This window comes from Homo sapiens, chromosome 22 (genome assembly GCF_000001405.40).
Source record: "Homo sapiens chromosome 22, GRCh38.p14 Primary Assembly".
In the NCBI taxonomy this organism is placed as follows: domain Eukaryota; kingdom Metazoa; phylum Chordata; class Mammalia; order Primates; family Hominidae; genus Homo; species Homo sapiens.
Window position 1 is genome coordinate 41,860,265 of NC_000022.11, and position 25,729 is coordinate 41,885,993.

At 47.4% G+C, this 25,729-nt stretch overlaps 1 protein-coding gene across 7 annotated transcripts in view, besides 2 other annotated features; it reads left to right on the forward strand.

The window, feature by feature from the left end:
* The window catches only part of SREBF2 (sterol regulatory element binding transcription factor 2), a 74,201-nt gene that overhangs the window by 27,160 nt on the left and 21,312 nt on the right, over nucleotides 1–25,729 (forward strand). For 5 of the 7 annotated variants that reach the window (XR_001755276.3, XR_001755277.3, NM_004599.4 and 2 more), the window contains exons 2-11: nucleotides 6,567–7,016; nucleotides 8,347–8,528; nucleotides 10,625–10,771; nucleotides 13,534–13,755; nucleotides 15,073–15,187; nucleotides 15,279–15,460; nucleotides 16,965–17,157; nucleotides 17,678–17,859; nucleotides 20,452–20,728; nucleotides 24,578–24,747. Coding sequence is in view for 4 of the 7 variants with exons in the window: in NM_004599.4 (NP_004590.2) it covers nucleotides 6,567–7,016; nucleotides 8,347–8,528; nucleotides 10,625–10,771; nucleotides 13,534–13,755; nucleotides 15,073–15,187; nucleotides 15,279–15,460; nucleotides 16,965–17,157; nucleotides 17,678–17,859; nucleotides 20,452–20,728; nucleotides 24,578–24,747 (2,120 nt within the window). In the remaining 3 variants the exon portion in view is untranslated. Of the gene's footprint in view, nucleotides 1–6,566; nucleotides 7,017–8,346; nucleotides 8,529–10,624; nucleotides 10,772–13,533; nucleotides 13,756–15,072; nucleotides 15,188–15,278; nucleotides 15,461–16,964; nucleotides 17,158–17,677; nucleotides 17,860–18,394; nucleotides 18,495–20,451; nucleotides 20,729–24,577; nucleotides 24,748–25,729 lie in introns of all 7 variants that reach the window. The other 2 variants (NR_103834.2, XM_011530347.3) reach the window with 2 other exon arrangements.
* Nucleotides 2,387–2,887: an enhancer, noted in NCBI's record as "H3K27ac hESC enhancer chr22:42258655-42259155 (GRCh37/hg19 assembly coordinates)". NCBI's record gives its function as "activates a minimal SCP1, AML or CMV promoter by ChIP-STARR-seq in primed H9 embryonic stem cells {active_cell/tissue: H9 hESC(primed)}" and the evidence as "EXISTENCE:reporter gene assay evidence [ECO:0000049][PMID:30033119]".
* Nucleotides 11,700–11,779: a silencer, noted in NCBI's record as "silent region_13801". NCBI's record gives its function as "represses an Ori minimal core promoter by ATAC-STARR-seq in GM12878 lymphoblastoid cells {active_cell/tissue: GM12878}" and the evidence as "EXISTENCE:reporter gene assay evidence [ECO:0000049][PMID:35858748]".

Genomic DNA, 25,729 nt, shown 5'->3' on the forward strand with positions numbered 1-25,729 from the left:
CCTGATAGCAAAAATGGACGAAGGTCAAGAGCAGGCGGTTTACAAAGGAAGAAATGCAAATGCTCAATAAAATTGGGACTTTAGAAAAAAAAAAGACTTTCAGCCTCAGTTAGTACTCAGTCATGCAAGACAAAACAATTCCATGTTGGTTTTTTCCACTATCAGATTGACAGAAATGGCTGTGAGGAAACACTAGCAGGAGCATAGATTTTTGAAACCTTTCCAAAGCATGTATAGTGGTCCTTTGACCCAGCCATCTAACTTCTAGGAATTTATCCTAAGAAAATAGAGAAGTGGGGGAACAAAAGAGTTGTTAATAATGCCGAATAACTTGCTGGGTGTGGTGGCACACGCCTGTAATCCCAGCACTTTGGGAGGCCAAGTCAAGAGGATCGCTTGAGCCCAGGAGTTTGAGACCAGCTTAGACAACATAGGGAGACTCTGTCTCCACAAAAAAAAGATTTCTTTAAAGTTAGCCAGGTTTGGTGATGCATGCTTGTAGTCCCAGCTACTCAGGAGTCTGAGGTGGGAGGATTGCTTAAGCACAGGAGGTAGAGGCTGCATTGAGCCCCACCACTGCCTTCCAGCCTGGGCAAGAGAGCAAGACCCTGTCTCAAAAAAATAAAAAAAAAAGATAAGGCTGAAAAATTTAAAGCAATTTTTCATCATTAAGTTAAACAAATTTTAATACACTGGTACAGTACAATGGCACACAGAATGATACCGTGGGACTCTGAAAAGGATGATGTTACGTCTGTAATGGTTGACACTGAATGTTCTTCATATTTATTAACCAAAGGGAACAGGGTGCAAAGTAGCATGTTCAGTGTGATCTCATTTTTGTAAAACAATTTGCATGCATGTGCATGCTTAAGTGTGCAAGCAAGCCTTGTAGAGGAAGAAATCTGGAAGGGCACACATTAAAACATTGACAATGGGCCGGGCGCTGTGGCTCACGCCTGTAATCCCAGCACTTTGGGAGGCCGAGGCAGGTGGATCACAAGGTCAGCAGTTCGAGACGAGCCTGTCCATTGTGGTGAAACCCCCTCTCTACTAAAAATACAAAAATTAGCTGGGCATGGTGGCACGCACCTGTAATCCCACCTACTCAGTGGGATTACACCGGGAGGCTGAGGCAGGAGAATTGCTTGAACCTGGGATGTGGAGGTTGTGGTGAGCCAAGATCATGCCACTGCACTCTAGCCTGGGCAACTGAGTAAGACTCCATTTAAAAAAAAAAAAATTGACAATGGATGACTCAAGAATAGTGGAACTGCTGGATGATTTTTATTTTTGTTCTTTTCATTTATATGCTTTCTAAATTTTTCTTTAGTGAATATATTACTTTTATGATTTTAACAAATTATTAAAAACAGGGCCAGGCGCAGTGGCTCACACCTGTAATCCTAGCACTTTGAGAGGCCGAGGTAGGCGGATCATCTGAGGTCAGGAGTTCGAGACCAGCCTGGCCAACATGGTGAAACCCTGTCTCTACTAAAAATACAAAAATTAGCAGGGCGTGGTGGTGTGTGCCTGTAGCCCCAGCTACTTGGGAGGCTGAGGCAGAAGAATCACTTGAACCCAGGAGGTGGAGGTTGCAGTGAGCCGAGATTGCACCACTGCACGCCTGGGCAACAGAGCGAGACTTTGTCTCAAAAAAAAAAAAAATTATTAAAAACATTGTCTAACACAAGGTGCATAATAAATACAAAATATAAGAATAAATGACCTTTGTAAACTAGGTTTCCCAGCCCCTAATAGGGCTGGGTAACAAATACCTGTTAAAGGATTATTGACTGAATCTGTAATTTGGAGAAACTGTAACCCTATTTGGAGGCTTCACATTCTTTATTCTTGACCAGAATTAATTTAACCAGATTTCAGGTTACCTCATTCTCAGGTAGATGCTGAAGGCTGAGCTGAGCAAAGTGATATTTATGTTACCTCCAAGCCACAAGCTCCATAAAGTTCATGTGAACTCAGGGTCTCTTTGTGAGTCATGGGGCTGCTTGCAATGCACGGATGATAACAGGAACCTCTAATTTTGGTTATTTGCTTTTAGAGACCAGAACCCAGATACAGTTTCCTGGGGCCTCACCTACTTTGTTAAGCAACTTAGCTATAAGTTTACAAAGCAGCTAAAAACAGGAGCAGGGGAGTGAGATGAGCTTGAGCGTGCCAGCCTAGCTCGTGGGAGGCCTGTCTCTGGCCCTGAGCTTTGTGGCCTGCCGTAGGAACTGGAGCTTCATTTTCAAAGCTCCATAAAACTCGCCTTCTCCCGGGCCTCCCTTTTCTGAGTTTCATGGCTCTCTGTGGAAATGACAGCCTGTGTAATCACAGAATGTGAATGATCAGAGCAGGGAACAGTGAGGAGCCATTAGGACATTCCCATGGGTGTAGCTCACAGTTACAAAGCACAACTACACCCTGGTTCTCCAGGCCTCCTCTTTCCTGGCACCGCAGACCAGATGGGGTCCTGGAGAGGCTCTGCGTGCCCTTCTGGAGCTTCCCATCACTCCTTTCTGCAGATGTTCATCTTAACAGCCCCTCTGTGCCACTCAGCCCAGTACCCGGCTGCCCGGCTGACTGGAGATGGCTCCACTGGAGCTTTTTGTGTGTGGGTTGAAAGGGACTTTTTTATTTTAATTTAAGTAGTCTCATTCCATCTGCCTACACACTCTTACGCTTCGTGAACTAAGCTTTCTGACCTGTGTAGGTTACTTCACCACACCAGCCCATATCTTTCCCACAAAAGGGTTTCAAGAGTACTTGACAAAATGAGATCAGTGCACCCACATGCCTGTGTAGTGGGTGCTCTGGAAGTACCGCCAACATTGACCTGCATAAGGGTCTACCCTTCACCAAGCACTTCGGATAAATTATCTTATTAATCCTCAGGGCAAAGAGGCCAAGTGTGTATTTTCAAAGCAGCCTTTTGTAGTGAGGAAACCAAGGCTTAAAGAGAAGTATCTTGCCCACGCTCACACCACTGATTAGGTGGGCCTCCAGAGACTCACACCTAGGCCTGACTACCACCAAAGCCTGTGCGCATCTATGAGGCCACCCTGGCCTTCTGCCCTCCTTAGCTTTCCATGGATGGAAACTGTCGGCCAGTGTGTGATATTCTTCTGGCTCTGTGTTACAGCCCTCTGTATTGATTTCTTACAGAGTTGGGATTTTGGGGGAATTCTAAAAGGTTCAACAAATTCTTAGATTTCTCTTAGTCATTTTCTTAAAGCATTTTATAATCTTGTACTTGGAGTGTGTCAGCACTAAATTATGTTTTGTTTAAATGTACTGAATTTGAGGACATTTCTCAGTTTAATCATGTCACGGAATTGGAATTGGTTAGTACAAGCTGCAATATCTGTAGCAATCTGCCCATTTCTCCCTCGCACAAGGCTGAGTGAGGACAGAGCTTAGTGTCAAGATGTTGGTAAATAATACCACTATGTAGGAATGTAGTCTGGTGAGATGCTGTTTTTCCCAGCAGGTTTAACTGACTGAATACTTAAGGTGCCCAGATTGAAATGCAAAGCTCCAGTTATCCCATATGGAGACTACACTAGAAAGCCCCAGCAGCTTTATTTATTTACATTTATTTATTTATCTATCTATTTATTTATTTATTTTTTGGGACGGAGTCTTGCTCTGTTCCCTAGGCTGGAGTACAGTGACGCAGTCATCTCGGCTTACTGCAACCTCTGCCTCCTGGGTTCAAGCGATTCTCCTGCCTCAGCCTCCCGAGTAGCTGGGATTACAGGCACCCACCACCATGCCTGGCTAATTTTTGTAGTAGACAGGGGTTTTCACCATGTTTGTCAGGCTGGTCTCGAACTCCTGACTTCAGGTGATCCACCTGCCTTGGCCTCCCAAAGTGCTGGGATTACAAGCATAAGCCACCACCCCTGGCCTATTTACATTTAATTATGATTTATTTTTCCTATCCTTCTGCAAGCATATATATATATATATATATATATATATATATATATATACACACACACACACACACACACAAAATATCAAAATATATATATATATGTATATATATATATATTTTTTTTTTTTTTTGAGACTGAGTCTCGCTCTGTTGCCCAGGCTGGAGTGCAGTGGCACGATCTCTGCTCACTGCAAGCTCTGCCTCCCGGGTTCACTCCATTCTCCTGACTCAGCCTCCCGAGTAGCTTGGACTACAGGCGCCCACCACCACGCCCAGCTAATTTTTTGTATTTTTAGTAGAGACGGGGTTTCACCGTGTTAGCCAGGATGGTCTCGATCTCCTGACCTTGTGATCCGCACGCCTTGGCCTCCCAAAGTGCTGGGATTATAGGCGTGAGTCACCGCGCCCGGCCCAAAAAATCTTTGTGTTTTTTTGTTTGTTTGTTTTGTGTTCAGAGAAGGGATCTGGCTAGGTGCCCTGGCTCATGCCTGTAGTCCCAGCACTTTGGGAGGCCAAACCGAGAGGTTGCTTTTCAGGAGTTTGAGACCAGCCTGGGCAACATGGTGAAATCTCGTCTCTACAGAAAATACAAAAATTAGCCGGGCATGGTTGGCGCACACCTGTGGTCCCAGCTACTCAGGAGGCTGATGTGGAAGGATCGCTTGAGCCTGGGAGGTGGAGGCTGCAGTGAGCTGAAATTGCAACACTGCACTCCAACCTGGGTGACAGAGCAATACCCTATCTCAAAAAAAAGAGAGACAGAGTCTCGCTGTGTTGCCCAGGCTGTTCTCAAACTCCTGACCTCAAGTGACCCTCCCACCTTGGCCTCACAATGCACTGGGATTACAGGCATGAGCCACCACAACCGGTCTCAGCAGCTTTCTGTTTGTCAGATATACAAATATACCCCAGGCTCCAGGCCCCCACATCCCCCAAAAAACACACACACACACACACACACAGCATCAGAGACCTGAGAAGGACATCTTGGTGGAGGTTTGGGGGAATGGAGATGGTTCCTTTTATTTTTTTATAGTGGTGGTGTGGTGGTTTTTGTTGTTTTGGTGTCTAAATCAGAGCATCACATGGCCTTGAAGGTTTGGAAAGGAGGGGCCATAGTTCAAGAACAAGCAGTAGCTTCTTGGGAACGTATTGGAGAGAGAAAAGAGAAAAGAATATGGACAATGTAGAGAATTGTAGGTCTGAAACTATCTGGGACAAAGCTGAGGCTCCTGACTTCTATAGGGACCAGTCATATGAAAAAGAAGGGAGTCGTGAGAGATGATGGGGTAGTTGTGGGTTAAGTTGGGTTTTGGAAAGCCTTTGGGAAGATTGACCAGGGAAGAGGCCCTGGAAGTAGGCTTGAGACCCTTTGGGCTGGGAATTTAAGGGTCCCAGCTACTTGGAACATGATCTAGAAAGGGAAGCGAGGTCTCCAGGTGGACAAATCCCTTTGGACCCAAGACTCCTTGCCCAGAGAAAAGGGGCACAACCAGACAAGGGCTAGCATGGGCCCTGGGAAGCACGGAGTTCAGGGTGGGGCAGGCTTGCTGTGTCCTGGCCTGGCAACATACCTGCACTGTGTTGTGGTAGAAGAACACAAAGCTGGGAGGCAGAGAACTGGTTCTAATCCTAGCTGTACCCTGACAAGCTGTGTGACCTTGGCCAAGTTACTTTCCTCTCCTGGACTTCATATATGGTTTTTCCATTCTTTGCATCCCTGAAGCTCCATGACTTAGGGGCCATCAACTTGGTTGTCCCTGAGTGTTTCCAAGAATACCAACAGTGCCCAGGGTTTTACTCAGCTTGGAGAGGAGGCCTAGAGCCTCCCTGTGGTGAGGAGGAAAGAGGTTAGAGCAAGTTTGGGTCTGCAGTGCTAGGATTAGAGGTGGCCTCACAAGCCAAAACCGCTATACTCACAGCCTTAGGACAGTGACTCCCTACTCGCTGCCTCAGTGTTTCCAGCTGTAAAAAAGGACCCTTGGTACCTTCGACAGAACAGCACCCATCTAGTACAAAGGTAGTTCCTTTTATGATCAAAACAATCAGGAAAAAGAGAGAGGCTGGGTGCGGTGGCTCACACCTGTAATCCCAGCACTTTGGGAGGCTGAGGTGGGTGGATCACCTAAGGTCAGGAGTTCGAGACCCACCTATCAATATGGTGAAACCCTGTCTCTACTAAAATTACAAAAATTAGCCGGGCATGGTGCCGTGCACCTATAGTCCCAGCTACTCAGGAGGCTGAGGCGGGAGAATCGCTTGAACCCAGGAGGCAGAGGTTGAAGTAAGACAAGTTCGCGCCACTGCACTCCATCCAGCGTGGGCGATAGAGGAAGACTCCGTCTCAAAAAGAAAAAAGAAAGAAAATGAGAGAAAGGGCCTGGAGGTGAGTGTGAGGAGGGAAAAGAACATCAAACAGATAAAGTCCTGTCCTGTTGTCCTGGGACCTTGGGCAGCCATCTTGGCCCAGATGATCCCCACAAGAAAGAGGTAAGGGTTTCCTGACCCATTTCTGCCATGGTCTTAGGAAAGTCATTGAGTTTTCATGCCTTAGTTTCTTAAGCAAGTTTGAAAGTTCACTTTTTGGATAGCAATAAAATTACTCCTTTTCTTTTGTTCACAGAGATGCTGCAATTTGTCAGTAATCAAGTGGGAGAGTTCCCTGACTTGTTTTCAGAACAGCTGTGTAGCTCCTTTCCTGGCAGTGGTGGTAGTGGTAGCAGCAGCGGCAGCAGTGGCAGCAGCAGCAGCAGCAGCAATGGCAGGGGCAGCAGCAGCGGAGCTGTGGACCCTTCAGTGCAACGGTCATTCACCCAGGTCACATTACCTTCCTTCTCTCCCTCGGCGGCCTCCCCACAGGCTCCAACTCTGCAAGTCAAGGTTTCTCCCACCTCAGTTCCCACCACACCCAGGGCAACTCCTATTCTTCAGCCCCGCCCCCAGCCCCAGCCTCAACCTCAAACTCAGCTGCAACAACAGACGGTAATGATCACGCCAACATTCAGCACCACTCCGCAGACGAGGATCATCCAGCAGCCTTTGATATACCAGAATGCAGCTACTAGCTTTCAAGGTGATTCAGAAGTTAGAATGGTAGTGGTTGGTTGGTTCCAATGTTTATGTGCCAGTTTGCAGACACTGTAAATATTTCTGTCGTCTTCAGGAATGGCAGGTATATCAATATGGTCCTGTCTGAATGAGGTTCTGGTAACTGGCAATAAGAACTGGTACAGGAGCATGTCACATTCTGCAGCTTCAAATACCTTAATATCTATTGCGCCTAATTCAAAAATACTTGGTTAAAAAATCCAGCAAGCGGCCGGGCGCGGTGGCTCACGCCTGTAATCCCAGCACTTTGGGAGGCCAAGGCGGGCGGATCACGAGGTCAGGAGATTGAGACCATCCTGGCTAACTCAGTGAAACCCCATCTCTACTAAAAAATAGAAAAAATTAGCCGGGCATGGTGGCGGGCGCCTGTAGTCCCAGCTACTCGGGAGGCTGAGGCAGGAGAATGGCGTGAACCCGGGAGGCAGAGCTTGCAGTGAGCAGAGATCGTGCCACTGCACTCCAGCCTAGGCAACAGAGCGAGACTCCCATCTTAAAAAGAAAAAAAAAAATCCAGCAAGCATAGTAGACACAGGGCCATTCTGATAACTAGTGGTGGAGACTTGAATAAGGCTTGAAATTGGCTAGGCGGCAGCCAGATCTCAGCTGCCACAGTTGAGAACTATTCATTCAGCAAACATCTGAGCATCCACTATGGTGATGAATATGACTTTTAATATAGGTGCAGCAGCTTCAAGTAGCAAGCCTCATGCTGGGCCCTTAGTATGTGTTGAGGGAATGGATGACTGAAAGGGGCCTGTTCTTTCTGTGATGTGCTGCATCCCAGTGCCTTTTCATCATATTTCCCTCTGACTCTGTGGGGAGCCCAGGGTAAGATTAGTATTGCTTTGAATTTCAAAGAATCTTATAGTTCTTCAATGGAGTTCAAGAATTGGGACAGGTGGGGGAATGTAAAGGCAAAAAGCTGAGACAGTCCTCCCAAAGTGCACTTGCCGTCCAGAAAGGATGGAAGAAAATGAAGCCCCAGGGAGTTGTTGATTCTCAACATCTGTTAACTCCCTTGCTGGGTGCAGTCATTTGCTGATTAGCTTCCCTTTCCCCCACCCTGGCACCCAGAGTAATAAAACAATTTGTACTCGTTCCCTCAGAAATTGATGCAGCCCTTATGGGATGTTCTTGTTGTCTAAGCCACCTTGTAAATGGCTGTGCACATCATCTTCAGCAGTAGGTGGGGAGTTGGAATCATTATGAGATACTCCATCCTCAGGTTTCTGCTGCAGCTGCAGTGACAGAATGCATTCCTCATCTCTGTGCCTTCTTTCTCCTCTTCTCCCAAGTCCTTCAGCCTCAAGTCCAAAGCCTGGTGACATCCTCCCAGGTACAGCCGGTCACCATTCAGCAGCAGGTGCAGACAGTACAGGCCCAGCGGGTGCTGACACAAACGGCCAATGGCACGCTGCAGACCCTTGCCCCGGCTACGGTGCAGACAGTTGCTGCGCCACAGGTGCAGCAGGTCCCGGTAAGTGGCTGGAAAGGATTCAGGGAGGCACTGGTTGGGGCTGTTAACTGGTCCTTGGTTGAAGATGTGGTCTACATACTAAGAAGGACCAACCAGAGTGTACACAAAGCAGCTTGTAGGGCGCCAGGATGCACCTGTGAGCAGCGTATAGTGACCTGGCTGAGTCCATATCTGTAGATAGACACTGGCACTCAGGAAAGGCTGGTGCAGTCACTTACGTACACATGTAATGGGCATAAAACTGGAAAGAAATGTGCTAAATTGGTATTTCCCAGATAATTTTCTTTTTCATAGTTTTGTGTTGTGTTTTTTTGTTGTTGTTGTTGTTTTGAGACGGAGTCTCATTCTGTTGCCCAAGCTGGAGTGGAGTGGTGTGGTCTCAGCTCACTATAACCTCCGCCTCCCGGGTTCAAGCAGTTCTGCTGCTTCAGCCTCCCGAGTAGCTGGGACTACAGGCATGTGCCACCACACCCGGCTAATTTTTATATTTTTAGTAGAGACGGGATGTTGGCCAGGCTGGCTTGAACTTCTGACCTTGTGATCCACCCGCCTCGGCCTCCCAAAGTGCTGGGATTACAGACGTGAGCCACTGCCCTTGGCTTTCATAGTTTTCTGTTCTCCATATTTTCTGCTGTGGATCCTGAACATATATTGGGTTGGGGGGAGGGGGGGCATGTATTATTAATCTTTTTTTTAATTTTTTTTTTTTGGAGACAGTTTTGCTCTTGTTGCCCAGGTTGGAGTGCAGTGGCGTGATCTTGGCTCCCTGCAACCCCCGCCTACCAGGTTCAAGCGATTCTCCTGCCTCAGCCTCCCAAGTAGCTGGGATTACAAGCACCTGCCACTGCACCTGGCTAGTTTTTTGTATTTTTAGTAGAGATGGGGTTTCTCCAGGTTGGCCAGGCTGGTTTTGAACTCCTGGCCTCAAACAGTGCATCGATCTCGGCCTCCCAAAGTGCTGAGACTACAGGTGGGAGCCACTGTGCCCAGCTGGGGGACGTGTATTATTTTTATAATCACAAAAAACGTCTTTATGTTATATATCATCGTGGACTATATCCTCTTTTTTCTTTTTTTTTTTTTGAGAGTCTTGCTCTGTCGCCCAGGCTGGAGTGCAGTGGCACGATCTCGGCTCACTGTGCAACCTCAGCCTCCTGGGTTCAAGCAATTCTCCTGCCTCGGCCTCCCGAGTAGCTGGGATTCCAGGCACGCGCCATCACGCCCAGCTAATTTTTGTATTTTTAGTAGAGACAGGGTTTCACCATGTTGGTTAGGCTGGTCTCAAACTCCTGACCTCATGATCCACCTGCCTTGGTCTCCCAAAGTGCTGGGATTACAAGCATGAGCCACCACATCTGGCCTATATTTTCTTACTAACAATTTATCTTAAAAAAATCAGGTTTATTATTTTTGCTTCTCAGCCATGTGTCTGGCTTTCCTGAGTCTTTTCTCTCCTCTCTGCCATCCACCCTACCCATCTCTGCTCTGCTCCTGCTGGGCCACTGGCACCACCCTCTTGAAAGTCTTTCAACCTAAAAACCCATGACCTGGCTGAGCACCATGGCTCACGCCTGTAATCTCAGCACTTTGGGAGGCTGAGGCAGGTGGATTTCTTGAACCCAAAAGTTCAGGACCAGCCTGGGCAACATGGTGAAACCCTGTCTCTACAAAAAAATACAAACAATTAGCCAGGCATGGTGGCACACACCTGTAGTCCCAGCTACTCAGGAGGCTGAGGCAGCAGGATCACTTGAGCCCGGGAGGTCAAGGCTGCAGTGAGCTGAGATTGCACCACTGCACTCCAGCCTGGGCAACAGAGAGCAACCCTGTCTCAGCAAAAAAAAAAAAAAAAAAAAAAAGCCAGGACCCTCATTAGCTAGCCCCTCTTTCTCCACCTGAACCCGGTATTCAGGCTGTACAAAATAGCCGGCTTTTGAAATGGCCTCTATGAAATTTCCTGTTCATTTTTTTATTCTCAATTTCATAAAAATTATATCATTTCTCATTCTTTCTTGGAAGGTCTATGCAGTAAGAAAGGAATGCATAACAGAAGGATAATGCTATCATCCTTTTACTTTTCTTCCTTCTTCATCCAGGTCCTGGTCCAGCCTCAGATCATCAAGACAGATTCCCTTGTTTTGACCACACTGAAGACAGATGGCAGCCCTGTTATGGCTGCGGTCCAGAACCCGGCCCTCACCGCCCTCACCACCCCTATCCAGACGGCTGCCCTTCAAGTACCAGTAAGAGCTGCCTTCTCCCCCACCCTCCTCCCTCCCCCTTTATTCCTGGAGGTGTTAGTCTTCAGAGATGTTAAATCTCTATATGCTGAGTAGGTATGGGAGGGTCTATAGCACAAATCAGTCAAATTGTAAATGTCACCCCTCTTAGTTGTTTTTCGCTCGAAAAAGTATTAGCAATGTGTGTTCGATGTGGGAGTACTGGAGTCTACAAGGAGGTAGAAAAGAATAGCAGAAGGACCCTCTATTCTTGGCTAATAGCTCCACACAAGACCATTCACCTCTTAGATCCTGCTGATGACTTCTGAAGGACCCTAGGGCCACCAGGCAGGGAAGGGCTCCAAGGTGAAGAACATGGAAGGTACCCCATCCTTCAGTTGTAGGTTCTTAGCCACTTTCAGCATCCTATAGCATGAGAATCTGATAGAGTAAATGGTGATTAAAATTTAGAAGCACTAGCTTTATTCATAAAATCCAAGAACTGGAAGCAACTCAAATGTCCATCCACAGGAAAATAAGCACATTGTGATATATTCATACAATGAAATTATGCCTAGCAATTAAAAAACAGAACTGCTGACAGGCACGGTGGCTCACGCCTGTAATCTCAGCACTTTGGGAGGCCAAGAGGGGTGGATCACCTGAGGTCAGGAGTTTGAGACCAGCCTGGCCAACACGGTGAAACCCCATTTCTACTAAAAATACAAAAATTAGCTGGGTATGGTGGTGCATGGTGCATGCCTGTAATCCCAGCTACTCAGGAGGCTGAGGCAGGAGAATTGCTTGAACCTGAGAGGTGGAAGCTGCAGTGAGCCGAGATCGCACCACTGCACTCCAGCCTGGATGACAGAACGAGACTGACTCTCAAAAAAAAAAAAAAAAGCTACTGATGCATGAAACAACATGGGGCTGTCCCTCAGAAATAGTGTGTCAAGCCACCGGGCGCAGTGGCTCACACCTGTAATCCCAGCACTTTGGGAGGCCGAGGTGGGTAGATCATGAGGTCAGGAGATCGAGACCATCCTGGCTACCATGGTGAAACCCCGTCTCTGCTAAAAATACAAAAAATTAGCCGGGCATGGTGGCGGGCACCTGTAGTCCTAGCTACTCGGGAGGCCGAGGTAGGAGAATGTCGTGAACCTGGGAGGTGGAGCTTGCAGTGAGCCAAGATTGCGCCACTGCACTCCAGCCCGGGCGACAGAGCAAATCTCCGTCTCAAAAAAAAAAAAAAAGAAATAGTGTGTCAAGCCAAAGGAGTTCATGCTAATGAGTCCATTTATATGAAGTTTAAAAAGAGGCAAAATGAAGCTATGGTGCTGGAATTCAGAGCGGTGGTGACAAGGAGGGGAGGGGCATGCGGGGACTTTCTGAGCTGGTAGAAATGGGCTATATCTTGGTCTGGGTGGTTATATACATTGTGTACATATGTAAAATTCATCAAGCTATAAACTTAAGATTTGTGGTTTTTATTGTGCATGACGTACTTATTGGCAACTAATGAAATTGGGCACCTTTTTATTTATTTATTGGCTGATTAGATATTGAGGCCATTATTTAAGAAATTAAACTAAAATTGGTCCAGGCCCAGTGGCTCACGCCTGTATTCCCAGCATTTTGGGAGGCTGAGGTGGGCAGATCACCTGAGGTCAGTAGTTTGAGATCAGCCTGGCCAACATGATGAAATCCCATCTCTACTAAAAATACAAAAATGAGCCAGGTGTGGTGGTGGGTGCCTGTATTCCCAGCTACTCAGGAGGCTGAGGCAGGAGAATCACTTGAACCAGGGGGGTGCAGGTTGTAGTAAGCTGTGATCACGCCACTGCACTCCAGCTTTTGGGCAACAGAGTGAGACTTTGTCTCAAAAAAAAAAACAAAAACAAAAAAACAGGACGTGGTGGCTCACGCCTGTAATCCCAGCACTTTGGGAGGCCAAGGCGGGTGGATCACCTGAGGTCAGCAGTTTGAGACCAGCCTGACCAACATGGAGAAACCCCGTCTCTACTAAAAATACAAAATTAGCCAGGCATGGTGGCGCATGCCTGTAATCCAAGCTACTCGGGAGGCTGAGGCAGCAGAATCACTTGAAGCTGGGAGGCAGAGTTTGTGGTGAGCCGAGATCACACCATTGCATTCCAGCCTGGGCAACAAGAGCGAAACTCCGTCTCAAAAAAAATAAAATAAAATAAAATAAAGTTAGAAAAAATAAGAGGAGAAAACAGAGATGAAGAATAAAAAGGGGAGACCTCCATGGTTGGCCTATTTACTTAATCAAATGGCTCTTATTGAGAGTGTCACTTCTGCCCTTGAGCTTTTTGATGGCAAAATTGTATAAAGAAATGCAGTAATTTGCTTAATTGTCATTTGAGAGGAAAAAATGTGTCATACACTAGGAGAAAGTTTTCTCTGGTGCCAACTCGTGGTTCACCGTGTACAACTTTAGAAGTGGTTAACAGTTTGACAGCAAAGCAGAAATCATATGACTTGTTTCTGGCATACGTAGATCAAAACTTAAAACATATTTAGCCATGTTAATCCTCTTGTGGTGTAGTTTATCAGCAGTGATTCTTGAAGGGAGGTAGTAACCAAGGTTCCGTGGCTCCTGAGACTTCTTGGGGCCTGATTTGATTAACCCAGGAAGAGTCTCAGACCTCATGAAGTACTGCCAGGTCTGGCAGCACTTGGCCAAAGCGGGCAGGTCTGTGTTGAGGTTGCTTTATGCAGACTAACAAAGGGATCATTCTGCTGTGTACCTGTCCCTATTCTAGACCCTGGTGGGCAGCAGTGGGACCATTCTGACCACAATGCCTGTAATGATGGGGCAAGAGAAAGTGCCCATTAAGCAGGTACCTGGGGGAGTCAAGCAGCTTGAGCCCCCCAAAGAAGGAGAAAGGCGGACAACCCATAATATCATTGAGAAACGATATCGCTCCTCCATCAATGACAAAATCATCGAATTGAAAGACCTGGTCATGGGGACAGACGCCAAGGTGGGTGCCAAGCAAAATTGTGTTTTATGTTCCACCATCTCCCCTCTACCTGTTTTTGCCTCAGGAGCCTAGAGAAGTCCCAGGCTCAAGGTAAGTGAATACAAGACCGAGTTAGAGGTGCTTTTTTATTAAAGCATCTTGGTGTCATGTCAAGATTATAAAATATTAAAAAACATAAGGGACTGGTGAGGGTTGATAAGGCAGTGACCCGCTGAGACCTTTGACTCCTTTGGCTATGCTCTGCAGTGATGGGGACTCCACTGTCAGAGGCAGAGAAAGATGCCTGCCACTCAGTAGTTCCAGATACAGGACTGTGTGTACCTTGGAGTCAGCTGATGGCATAGTTTTAGCTGTGTTTAGGGGTTACCTTTTAAGGAAAAGAAAGAAAAAAGAGGTTGAGTCTTTGACCAGCAACACATAGAGGAAACTGATGTTCCAAATGTTTCTGGTGTTTCAGTGTATGTGTCTTCTAGAAAGTAGGAGATTTTATTTTTAAAACCTATCTATGTTTAAACCCTATTTTGAAAGAAAATTTCATTTTCCTTGCCTACAAATCTGAAAGCTGTACATCCTAAGTAAAAATCTATGCCTTAAGATAACTGTCCAGGCTAGGCACTGTGGCTTACGCCTGTAATCCCAGCACTTTGGGAGGCTGAGGCGGGTGGATCACGAGGCCAGGAGTTCAAGACCAGCCTGGCCAACATGGTGAAACCCCGTCTCTACTAAAAATACAAAAAATTAGCCGGGCGTGCTGGCAGGTGCCTGTAATCCCAGCTACTTGGAAGGCTGAGGCAGGAGAATTGTTTGAACCTGGGAGGCAGAGGTTGCAGTGATCTGAGATCGCGCCATTGCACTCCATCCTGGGCAACAAGAGTGAAACTCTGTCTTGGAAAAAAGAAAAAAAAAAAGATAACTGTCCAACAATGCTGTGGTTGTTTTTTTCATTTGTTTTCGTTAAAGTTTGTTATGGTGCTAGGATTATTATAAGAAGTGGGAACAATAGCTAATATTTATTGAGTGTCAACTATTTGCCAGGCTCAGGGCTAAGCCCTTTACACTCATTATCTCATTTAGCCCTGCTGCAAGCCTGTGATTCACGCGCTTTCATTATCTCTGTGCTAATGAGGAGGAAAGTGAGGTTCTGAGGTATGGAATAACTTCTCCCGAGTGGCACAGCTAATCATTGGGAGGACCAGCATCTGAACTTGGTTTCTCCTCTCACAGAGCCATGCTGTCATCCCAAGTGCTAGGGCTCTGCTCTTTTCACACTGTAGCCTGCACTGGTCTCACTGTGTTTTCACTCATCTTCCTACCCAGATGCACAAGTCTGGCGTTCTGAGGAAGGCCATTGATTACATCAAATACTTGCAGCAGGTCAATCATAAACTGCGCCAGGAGAACATGGTGCTGAAGCTGGCAAATCAAAAGAACAGTAAGTGTGCTGAGAAAAGGCTTGTCAGCCCTGGCCCAGGTGGGGCTTTGTAAAAGCAGATCATTTTCACCAGGTGGGGTTTTCTTTGCAGAGCTTCTAAAGGGCATCGACCTAGGCAGTCTGGTGGACAATGAGGTGGACCTGAAGATCGAGGACTTTAATCAGAATGTCCTTCTGATGTCCCCCCCAGCCTCTGACTCAGGGTCCCAGGCTGGCTTCTCTCCCTACTCCATTGACTCTGAGCCAGGAAGCCCTCTATTGGATGATGCAAAGGTACAGACTTTTGAAATCTCCTGATCCCTGGAATCTTTCCCATTTCCCCTAAGAAGATAGCTGGGAGGTCACAGTTATGAGGCCAGGCCGCATGTTAAGAGGGCCTAGCCTGGAGAAAAACAGGAATTCTGTGAAATTAGCCAGGTCCTGGAGAATAAAGAAAGAAAAAACTGACTCCGGGGGGAAACAGTCCCTCAGGTTTAACTGGTCCTTGCCGATAGGCCCCGTCAGAGAGGAATGAGTGCCAGATCCAGAACGAGAATGCAGAGTAGCTGTTGTGGGGGCGTTGGGAGCTGCTGGAGGCACCTCATTGCTTCACTCTGCCTTTAATGGGCCTGGCAAGACCACTTTGGGAGGCTGATCAGTTGGTTTAGGATGAGGCTGCCTCTGGGTCCTCTTTTCAGAAATGATTACAATTTGCAGTCTAACAGATAACATTTTACCTATGGGCCTTTAATCGTCAAAGCCCCTGGCAATGGTAGTTTAATGGAATTACTTAAGAGACGCTCTGAGCCTAATGATCTTCCTGGGAACCTGTAGAGACCACTGGGTTTTGTACTGTATTTTGACTTCGGCAGTTTCTGACTCTGAAAGCACAAAGTTCCCTCCTAGTGTTTGTTTTTGACTAAGCTGTTTATTGTATCATATACTTAATTTTACTAAGGAAGCTCCATTTTTGAAATATTCTTATAAATGTGGTTCTGTTTGGCAACAACAGGCTGTTTGACATATAAATTGAATTAGCTGGGCTTCTGAGTCATCAGAAGAAAATCTTAAATGGTTTTAAAATATTGAAAAGAAATGACATGCTATATACACATTGGGGCGCAGGGGAGATCTGGCTTCAGCCCTCCTGCTGTAAAATGGAGAGTGGGGTGGGTGTAGACAATGATACAGTTTTAGAACAGGTAAAATCCTTTAGATAGATTCACACTAAATACGGTCTTTGATCAACTTCATTGAGGTGTAATTTAAATGCAATAAAATATACCTACTTTAAAAGTACAGTACCAAGAGTTTTAACATAATGTACAGTGCTATGTAACTGTCACTGTAATCAAGATATAGAACATTTCCATCACCCCAAAAAGCTCTTTTGTACACCTTTGCAGGTAGTTTCCCACACCCCTCTCCAGCCTCAGACAATGACTGATTCATTGGTTTCCTGTTACTTTAGATTCATTTTGCCTGTTCTGGAATTATACAGAAACAGAATCATACAGTGTGTTCTCTTTTGTGGTAGATTTCTATTTTAAAAGAAAATCTCTTCTACCTTTGTTCTTTGGAACATGTACTTTTCTCAGTTAGCAAGCAGGTGAATGTGCCAATGTTTGAGCAGCAGTTAGTGAATTATAGGCTTCTCAGTTCCCATCTGGCCTTAGTCCTGAGTTAATCGACTTGAATTTAAACCTCATAACCATTTCTCAATATATATATATGTATTTATAAAGTGCTGTAAAAACCTATGCAGTATTTATTCCAACCTCGAGGCCTTGTTTTGAAGGTCAAAGATGAGCCAGACTCTCCTCCTGTGGCGCTGGGCATGGTAGACCGCTCACGGATTCTTCTGTGTGTCCTCACCTTCCTGTGCCTCTCCTTTAACCCCCTGACTTCCCTGCTGCAGTGGGGAGGGGCCCACGACTCTGACCAGCACCCACACTCAGGCTCTGGCCGCAGTGTCCTGTCATTCGAGTCAGGTAGGTGGAGGCCCCTTGCCCCACCTGGGCATGGCTGGACCACTATGGCAGGAGAAGGACCCTGTGTACAAACTTCTTGGCTTGGCTACCAGGTCCCAAAGGGCTTTTATAGTGGGCCCCCACCTGCTTGCTTCTGATAGGGACTGGCATAAGTTCCATTTTAGAAGTAACAAGGCAAGCCCAAGTTCAGTCAGAATGAGCAAAACAAATCAGGGACCCACACTACTCTAAATACCCTGGGGTGGAGGGGTGGTACCTATTTGAAGGAGGATATCGTGTTTTTTATCTGAGGTTGCAAAACCAATGCCTCAACCCTTTCAAAACAAAGATTTTTATGGCACTCAGCTCCATAATGAGAAGGGCTACAGTCATTAGCCCTGTTTAGATTATAGAATTATTTGCCCTTTCTTCTGAAAATGAGGTAGAAGACTCTTTCCTGTGATAGTGCTGGGGTCTGTCAGGTGCCTGGCTGCTCCGCAAGGCCTTTCCTAGCAGACTCTGCTGAGACGCTCCTTCTTAGGTTCTGGGGGCTGGTTTGACTGGATGATGCCTACTCTTCTCTTATGGCTGGTAAATGGTGTGATTGTCCTGAGCGTCTTTGTGAAGCTGCTGGTTCATGGGGAGCCAGTGATCCGGCCACACTCGCGCTCCTCGGTCACCTTCTGGAGGCACCGGAAACAGGCAGATCTGGATCTCGCCAGAGTGAGTTCTGTGTCCGCCCTTCCCCATCCTCCCCCAGACTTGACAAATAATTCAGCAACTCGTGTCAAAGAAAGTCCTATGATAGATGCTTGTGGTGAGAGGAAAAAGGGACCCTGCTGCTGAATAGTCACAGGGCAGTGGAGTGGGCGCCTCTGCATAGATAATTAATTCCAGGGACATGAGATGATCTATGTCTCCGGTATGACAGGAATAATGAAGTTGAGTTCTGAGGGAGGGGTTCTAGGGCTTGAGCGGGGCTGCCAAGAGTAGGAAGGAAGGGCAGAGGTGGCAGAAGGACCTTCCAACCCGAACACATGAATGGACAGGCTGTTTGGAGACTGGCAGGTTCCAGGGTGTGTTGAGTGTAGGTTATGTCAGAGAGAGTTGAAGGCAAAGGCTGGTAGTGTGTCTAGGCCCAAATTGGAGAGGGCTTTCACTAGGAACTGATTTGGGGCTTTATTCCCAATTCTCTATAGAACCAGGAAAGGTTTTTGAGCAGGAAAACTAGCTGAAAGTTTTCATTTGAAATCAACAGGGAGTTTACGGAAAAAAATCTGGGGCAACTCACAGCATTGAGGAAGAGTTAAACATCCACATTTCAAGAGGAACAAGAACCAGAACACTCCTCAGCAGCAGTGAGCCATGGGCCTGCCCTCCCCACCTCTGCAAGCTGCAGGGCCATTAGTGAGAATCTGATTGGCCATCCTGGATCTGTCAGCCTTGCTGGGGCTATGGGTCTCAGAATATAGATGTGATTTTGAGAGGCCTGTTCCTTGAGTATAACATCCCAAGATGTATATCCTAGAGGCAGGTTCAGGTGTGTGTTTTACAAGCATCATTATGGTGGCTGTGAAGGATAGGTAGGAGGGAGATGTGAAATGCATGGAACATGGCAACAAGTTAGGGTGCTCTTTTTTAAGTAAAGACAAGGTCTCACTGTGTTGCCTGGCTGGTCCTGAACTCCTAGGCTCAAGTGATCCTCTCACCTTGACGTCCCAAAGTGTTAGGATTACAGGCATGAGCCACCACGCCTGGCTGAGTCAGGGGGCTCTATGAAATAGACTGAGTAAGAGATGATGGCAAGGACCTGGAATTAAAAGGAAAGGTTTGAACTGAATAAGTATTTGAAATGTAATATTTGGAAGGGAAGTGATTAGTGACGTTGACTCAAGGATAAGAGAGGCTCCAAGATGGAGTGGACTCCATCTAGGCCATGTTGCCTGGAAAAGCTGGAAGAGGCCCCTGTAGAGTGAGCAGTGATTGAGAGGCAGGCCATGGGGACTGAGCAGGGGCGGGGCCAGAGTGTTTGGGAAGCATGTCTGTCAGCAGAGGGTTCTTAGGGAGAATTGGACTGGGGAGTCAGGAGGGGTAAGAGCCAAAGACTGGGACTTGGGAATAGCCCATCTTTGAGGGAAAGGCAGGGGAGGAGCCAGGGAACACCTGCCTCCTTTGGAATCTGCAAATGCAGGTCCTTCTGGCTGGAAAGATAGAGGCACCTTAGAGACTGTTGCTGTGAGGACATCTTTTCTTTTCCCTTGTCCAGTCCTGTAATGATGTGGGAAACAAAGCACAGATAGTGTACCAGCTGCCCAATAGAGGAAAATAGGAGAATTTACTTTCATTTCCCAAGACTATATAGCCTGTCCTCTAGTTTCCAGCAGTGAGAGAGAGAAAGCGAGCGGTCTCCAGTACAGTGCCGTAGACTCTCCATTAGACCCTCTCAGGTTGACAAAGATTAGTTCATCTGAATCCTAGAGTAGGGTAGTTTAGCTGTGAGTTTGCCTAAAACCATGGTTCTCAAACTTCAGCAGGCATGAAGCCGGGTGCTGTGGCTCACACTGAGGTGGGGGGATTGCTTGAGCCCAGGAGTTCAAGACCAGCCTGGGCAACATAGCAAAACCCCCATCTCTAAAAATGAAAAGAAACGCTTTAGCAGACATGGCATGAGAATCACCTAGAGGGCTGCAATACCAGAGATTCTGATTCAGTAGCCCTGGGGTAAGGTCCAAGTGCTTGCATTTCTAACAAGCTCCTAAGAGCTGATGCTACTGGCCTCTGGGGGCCACACTTTGAGACCCTGAAAGCCTAAAGGATCATGCAGTTCATCTAAATCTGTGTCACCACCTTATGTCTAAAAGCTACTGCTGGCCGGGCATGGTGGCTCACGCCTGTAATCCCAACACTTTGGAAGGCCGAGGCAGGTAGATCACTTGAGGTCAGGAGTTCGAGACCAGCCTGACCAACATGGTGAAACCCTGTCTCTACTAAAAATACAAAAAAAAAAAAAAAAAAAGTGCTACTCTGAGGGAACTCTGACCAGCATTTGCTCATAGAACAAACGCACGCAGTACAATCTCAATCGAGTAAAAAGTCTGTAAGGAAATACCTCAGAATGTCAGCAGGGATTCTTCCTGGGGGATGAGATTATAGGTGGTTTTGTTTTACTTTCTTGTAGCTTTCTGAAGTTTCCCTCGTTTTTATGAGTGTGCACTAATTCCTCTGATAATTGGGGGCAGGGGGAGTAGAAGTCTATATCAAAACAAAAAGCCGGAGCAAGGCCAGTGACCATTAACACCTTTTGATACTTTGTAGGGAGATTTTGCAGCTGCTGCCGGCAACCTACAAACCTGCCTGGCAGTTTTGGGCCGGGCACTGCCCACCTCCCGCCTGGACCTGGCCTGCAGCCTCTCCTGGAACGTGATCCGCTACAGCCTGCAGAAGCTACGCCTGGTGCGCTGGCTGCTCAAGAAAGTCTTCCAGTGCCGGCGGGCCACGCCAGCCACTGAGGCAGGCTTTGAAGACGAAGCTAAGACCAGCGCCCGGGATGCGGCTCTGGCCTATCACCGGCTGCACCAGCTGCACATCACAGGTGAGGGGGCAGCTGCTGCTGCCTGGCTTGCTGCAAGGCATCTCATGCTACCTCTCCTCCTTAGCTTGATTTGCCAGTTCTGCACCCTAGCTGAAGTCCCTTTAACGCTACTCTTTTAGAGTGGCTAGACCAAGCTTCTACCTGTTTTCACAGCTGTAAGGTTGGCTCTTTGCTTTAGCTCATCAGTTCTCAGATGCACATGTTTTCACAATAACATCACTATACTCAGGATGTGTCCTATAAACAGTGGCACATTGTAGATAAGTTGGCAGTGTTTTTCTTTAGTGATACTTAAATTAATGGTGAGACTTAAAATTGCTGACATCTTAGAGTCAATGAAATATGATCATCTGTTTCATTCAGTAAGCTCCTGCTATAATAGGCAGAGAGGTCAACAAATGAATGACAGTTCAGCGTGAGTATGTTAGACTTAGCAGAAGGAACATGTTTTCGTTGGGAGGGAGTGGGTACCCGTTTGGAGGGTTTCAAGAAAGGTTTTCTGGGGAAGTAGAGTCTTGGCTTTGCATGGAAGGATGCATAGAGGTCACCAGCTCTGCAGGAGATGAGCCTCTGGGCAGAGGGATGTTCCCAAGGAGGAGCCCCACCTGGGGTGGCTCTTGAGAATAAGCCTTCAGTGGTCCTAGAGGGAGCCAGGGCACAAAGGCAGTACTCAGACCATGAAGGATTTGGATGCCAGGCTGAGGATCTTGTAGTGTATCAGTAGGATTCAGTGAAGAGCATTAGGAAAATAGTGATATGATCAGGTTTGTGCTTCTCAAGTTTAGAAGAGTCAGGCTGGGCATGGTAGCTGGCTCACACCTGTAGTCCCAGCACTTTGGGAGACTGAGGCAGGAGGATCACTTGCACTCAGGAGTTCGAGACCAGCCTGGACAACGTGGCAAAACCCCATTTCTACAAAAAATACAAAAATTAGCCAGGCTTGGTGATGCACACCTGTAATCCCAGCTACCCAGGAGGCTGATGTGGGAGAATCACTGGAGCCTGGGAGATCAAGGCTCCAGTGAGCCAAGATTGCACCATAGCACTCCAAAAAAAAAAGTTTAGAAGATTCACTCTGATGGCAGATAAGGAGTGGATCCCAGAGGATCAAGGCTAGAGCTAGAGAGGCCAAATAGAAGCTGATGCAGATTAAAGATGAGAGTTGCTGAAAGGACAGATGAGAGGAAATTAGAAGGTGGAATTGACTGGACTGGGGACTCATTGGACTGATGGATGGGGACAGTAGTCAGCTAAGACGGTTCCCTGGTTCTTCCTTGGGAGTTTGGGTGAGCGATGGTGCCACCAACAAAGGTAAAGAAAATAGAAGGAAGAGCAACTTTCCAGGAAAAGGGTGGTGAGTTCCCTTTTGGACACTTGCCTGTGAGATGTGGAGGTGAGCTGGACATGCAGGATCTACAGCCCAAAGAAGACTACAGGTGAGAGTGAAAAGCAAGGGAGCCTATGAGAGTGGATAGGTGAAAAGGAGACCCTCAGGGCCATTCAGAAGAACACCCTCATCTAAAGAACAGATAGGCCATCGCGGTGGCTCACACCTGTAATCCCAGCACTTTGGGAGGCCAAGGCAGGTGGATCACCTGAGGTCAGGAGTTCGAGACCTGCCTGGCCAACATGGCAAAACCCTGTCTCTACTAAAAATACAAAAATTAGCCGGGTGTGGTGGCACGTGCCTATAATCCCAGTTACTCGAGAGGCTAAGGCAGGAGAATCACTTGAACCCAGGAGGTGGAGGTTGCAGTGAGCCAAGATGGCACCACTGCATTCCAGCCTGGGCAACAAGAGCAAAACTCCATCTCAAAAAGAAAGGATAAAGGCTGGCACAGCAGTTCACATCTGTAATCTCAGAACTTTGGGAGGTCAAGGAAGGAAGGTCGCTTGAGCCCAGGAGTTTCCCATCAGCCTGGGAAACACGGGGAGACTCCATCTCTCCAAAAAAAATTCAAAAAATTAGCTGGTTTTTGTGGTGTGTGTCTGTGGTTCCAGCTACTTGAGAGGCCAAGGTGGGAGGATCACTTGAGCCTGGGAGGTAGATCGAGGCTGCAGCGAGCTGTGATTGTGCCACTGCACATGCATGCAGAGATGAACAGATAGAGGATGGGGAGTCAGGGGCAGAGGCTGCCTGAGAGGAGCAGTTGGAGAGGTCTGAGGAGACACTGAGATGCTAAGTGTTGGAGGAGCAAGGTCAGAGAGTTGAGGAGGGGAGATTGTTGCTGGGACACCCAGTAAGATGAGGGCCAGGAATAACAGTAGGATGTGGTAACTGGAAGGTGTTAGATACCTTGATGGCAGTAAGGAGCTTCAGCCAAAAGTGGAACAGAGCCAGGCAAGTGATGTAGGAGTGACCAGGAGATGAGACAGTGGGGCCATTGTGCAGCTTTAATATGTGGGCTCATGGTAGAATTTTAGCAGAAGGTCCCTATCTGCAAATTTGCCCCGCTGTTATCTTGTCTGTTCCTCAGTGTGCCCTTGGGACAGAATAAGCCCATACTCAGGTCTCTGATCAGGCTGTGTCCTCCTTGCTGCCAAATTCTGGAGAATTCCAGCTGAGAAGCTTTACGTCACTCATTCCTTCCATACTCACTGGCATTCCCTGTGTGAGGCACTGAGGGGACAGAGGTAACTACAGTATGGTTGCCACACTGCCCTCTCACCTCCCTTCCTGTGTCTCCTGCAGGAGGAACACCTGAGGCCAGTACAGAATGGAGTGTGGAGGCTGAGATCTCCCTAGGCTGATAAAAAGACAGGGAGGCAAGGCAGCCCAGGAGGGGGAACACAGGGCTGGATGAGCACGGGAAGCCTGGCTTTGCCACTGTCTGCACCTTGACATGGGCACTTCCTCCCCTGAGGCAAGGAGACTGCTTGCCCTTGTAGTGAGGACCAAAGCCAGCAACAGTATGAAAGCCTCACGAGAGCTGTGATGGGCCCTTGTGCCTGTGCAAGGATACTTTGTTCCCTGATTAGGGGATCAGCCCCAGATGGGCCACTGTGCACCTCTCATAGGGGAGGGTGTGGTAAGCCTTCCTGGCCTCCCACCCACTAACCCAACATGTGTTCAGCTGTCCTTGCTCAGTTTACGTCACTTCCCCCTCAAACGGGTATGTGTTTGTGTATTGTGAAGGCGGGTTTTTTTTTGGCTTTTTTGGGGGACAGAGTCTCGCTCTGTTGCCCAGGCTGGAGTGCAGTGGTGCGATCTCAGCTCACTGCAACCTCCGCATCGCAGGCTCAAGCAATTCTTCTGCCTCAGCCTTCCAAGTAGCTGCAATTACAGGCGTGTGCCACCACGTCCAGCTAATTTTTTCTATTTTTAGTAGAGATGGGGTTTCACTGTGTTTGCCAGGCTGGTCTCGAACTCCTGATCTTAAGTGATCCGCCGGCCTTGGCCTCCCAAAGTGCTGGGATTACAGGTGTGAGCCACTGGCACCCAGCCACATTGTGAAGGTTTTTTAATGAAAATAAATTCAAATCAGTTCATCTAAAAAAAATTTCATTACCTCTGTTGAATGTTTGGAAACACACAGTGTGGCTGTGCTGCTGACATTGTTATGTTGCACTGTGCGCCTCTGAGTCCTATACAACAACCTGCAATTGTGACAGCTCTGGGTGTGACAGAAATGGGTGCCATGTTCCCAGCTACCCTGTGAGGTAGACAGGAACACACAGCCAGTATATCACAGAGCCTGGCATCCCATCCTGTGATCAGGCCTGTCTGATCACAAAGTTCACCTCGCTTCTCCCCTGGTTCCTCTCTTACTTTGATCGTGCTGGAGAGAGCAGGAAAAAGTTTGGTTTTGGGGCTCCATCAACAATAGTGTCTGTTTCTGCCCACCCTAGGGAAGCTTCCTGCAGGATCCGCCTGTTCCGATGTACACATGGCGTTGTGTGCCGTGAACCTGGCTGAATGTGCAGAGGAGAAGATCCCACCGAGCACACTGGTTGAGATCCATCTGACTGCTGCCATGGGGCTCAAGACCCGGTGTGGAGGCAAGCTGGGCTTCCTGGCCGTGAGTACCCTTCGGTTCCCTTCTGTAAACCTCCCCTGAGCACTTACCTAGCCAGGAGTTAAGATGCAGAAGCAGTTATGAACCCCCTTCCCCATCAGGTGCTGCCCACCTGGAGGGGTAGGCAGGCATTCATTCAGTCGCTCATTTCACCAGGACTCCCAGCAACCGATAAAACAGACCAAAATTCCTCCCCTTGTGGCCTTAATACCATAAGCCTTGTAGGCAGGACATTTTGGTCCCCTGAGGTAATATGAGGTAATATGAAGATTGGTTCAGCAATAGCAGAGCTACTGTACTTGGGGGTTAATATGCAACTTTTCTGTTCTTCAAGTGGTCATAAAAATTCTTAGAATCCCCTGGTTATGTCTCATGGTTCTTTCATTTACTCAGAAGGTATTTATTGGGCATCTTGTATTGATCACAGCACTGTGAATCCAGAAATAAAAGCCAGTGCCTTTGCCAAGCTACAGAGTTAAAGAAAAGAAAAATGAAATGAATAAAAGTAAAAGAAAACCTGTGCCTGTCTACAAGGAGCTCAGGTCAGACGAGGGCAGGGATTGTGGCTATCAAGCACCTCCCATATGCCTAGCTAGGAGCCAGGCTTGGGAACTCTCAAATGGGTAATTCCCGGTCCTTGTTATCAGCTAGCTCACAACATGCTGACCTCAGGCTTTCTCTTACTCTAGCAGAAACAGGTATGTTTTACTTTGTGTCCCACTATGGATAGACTGCTGAATACATCAGGTATGTTCAAGCATTACCACATCTCTATTTGTTTCCGTATCTCAGTAACAGCAGAGATGAGCTGAGAATGAATCAGAACGTGCCCTGTAGTGACATTGATATATTTCCTGAGGTACATCACGATAGTCTAGGGGACAAAGGGCGCAGGGAAGCCCAGTGTACTCTTTATGTCTACACTTGATCTTAGCCAGAAGGCTGAGAAGTGATACTTTTTATGTCTTACCTCTGTTTCTGGTGA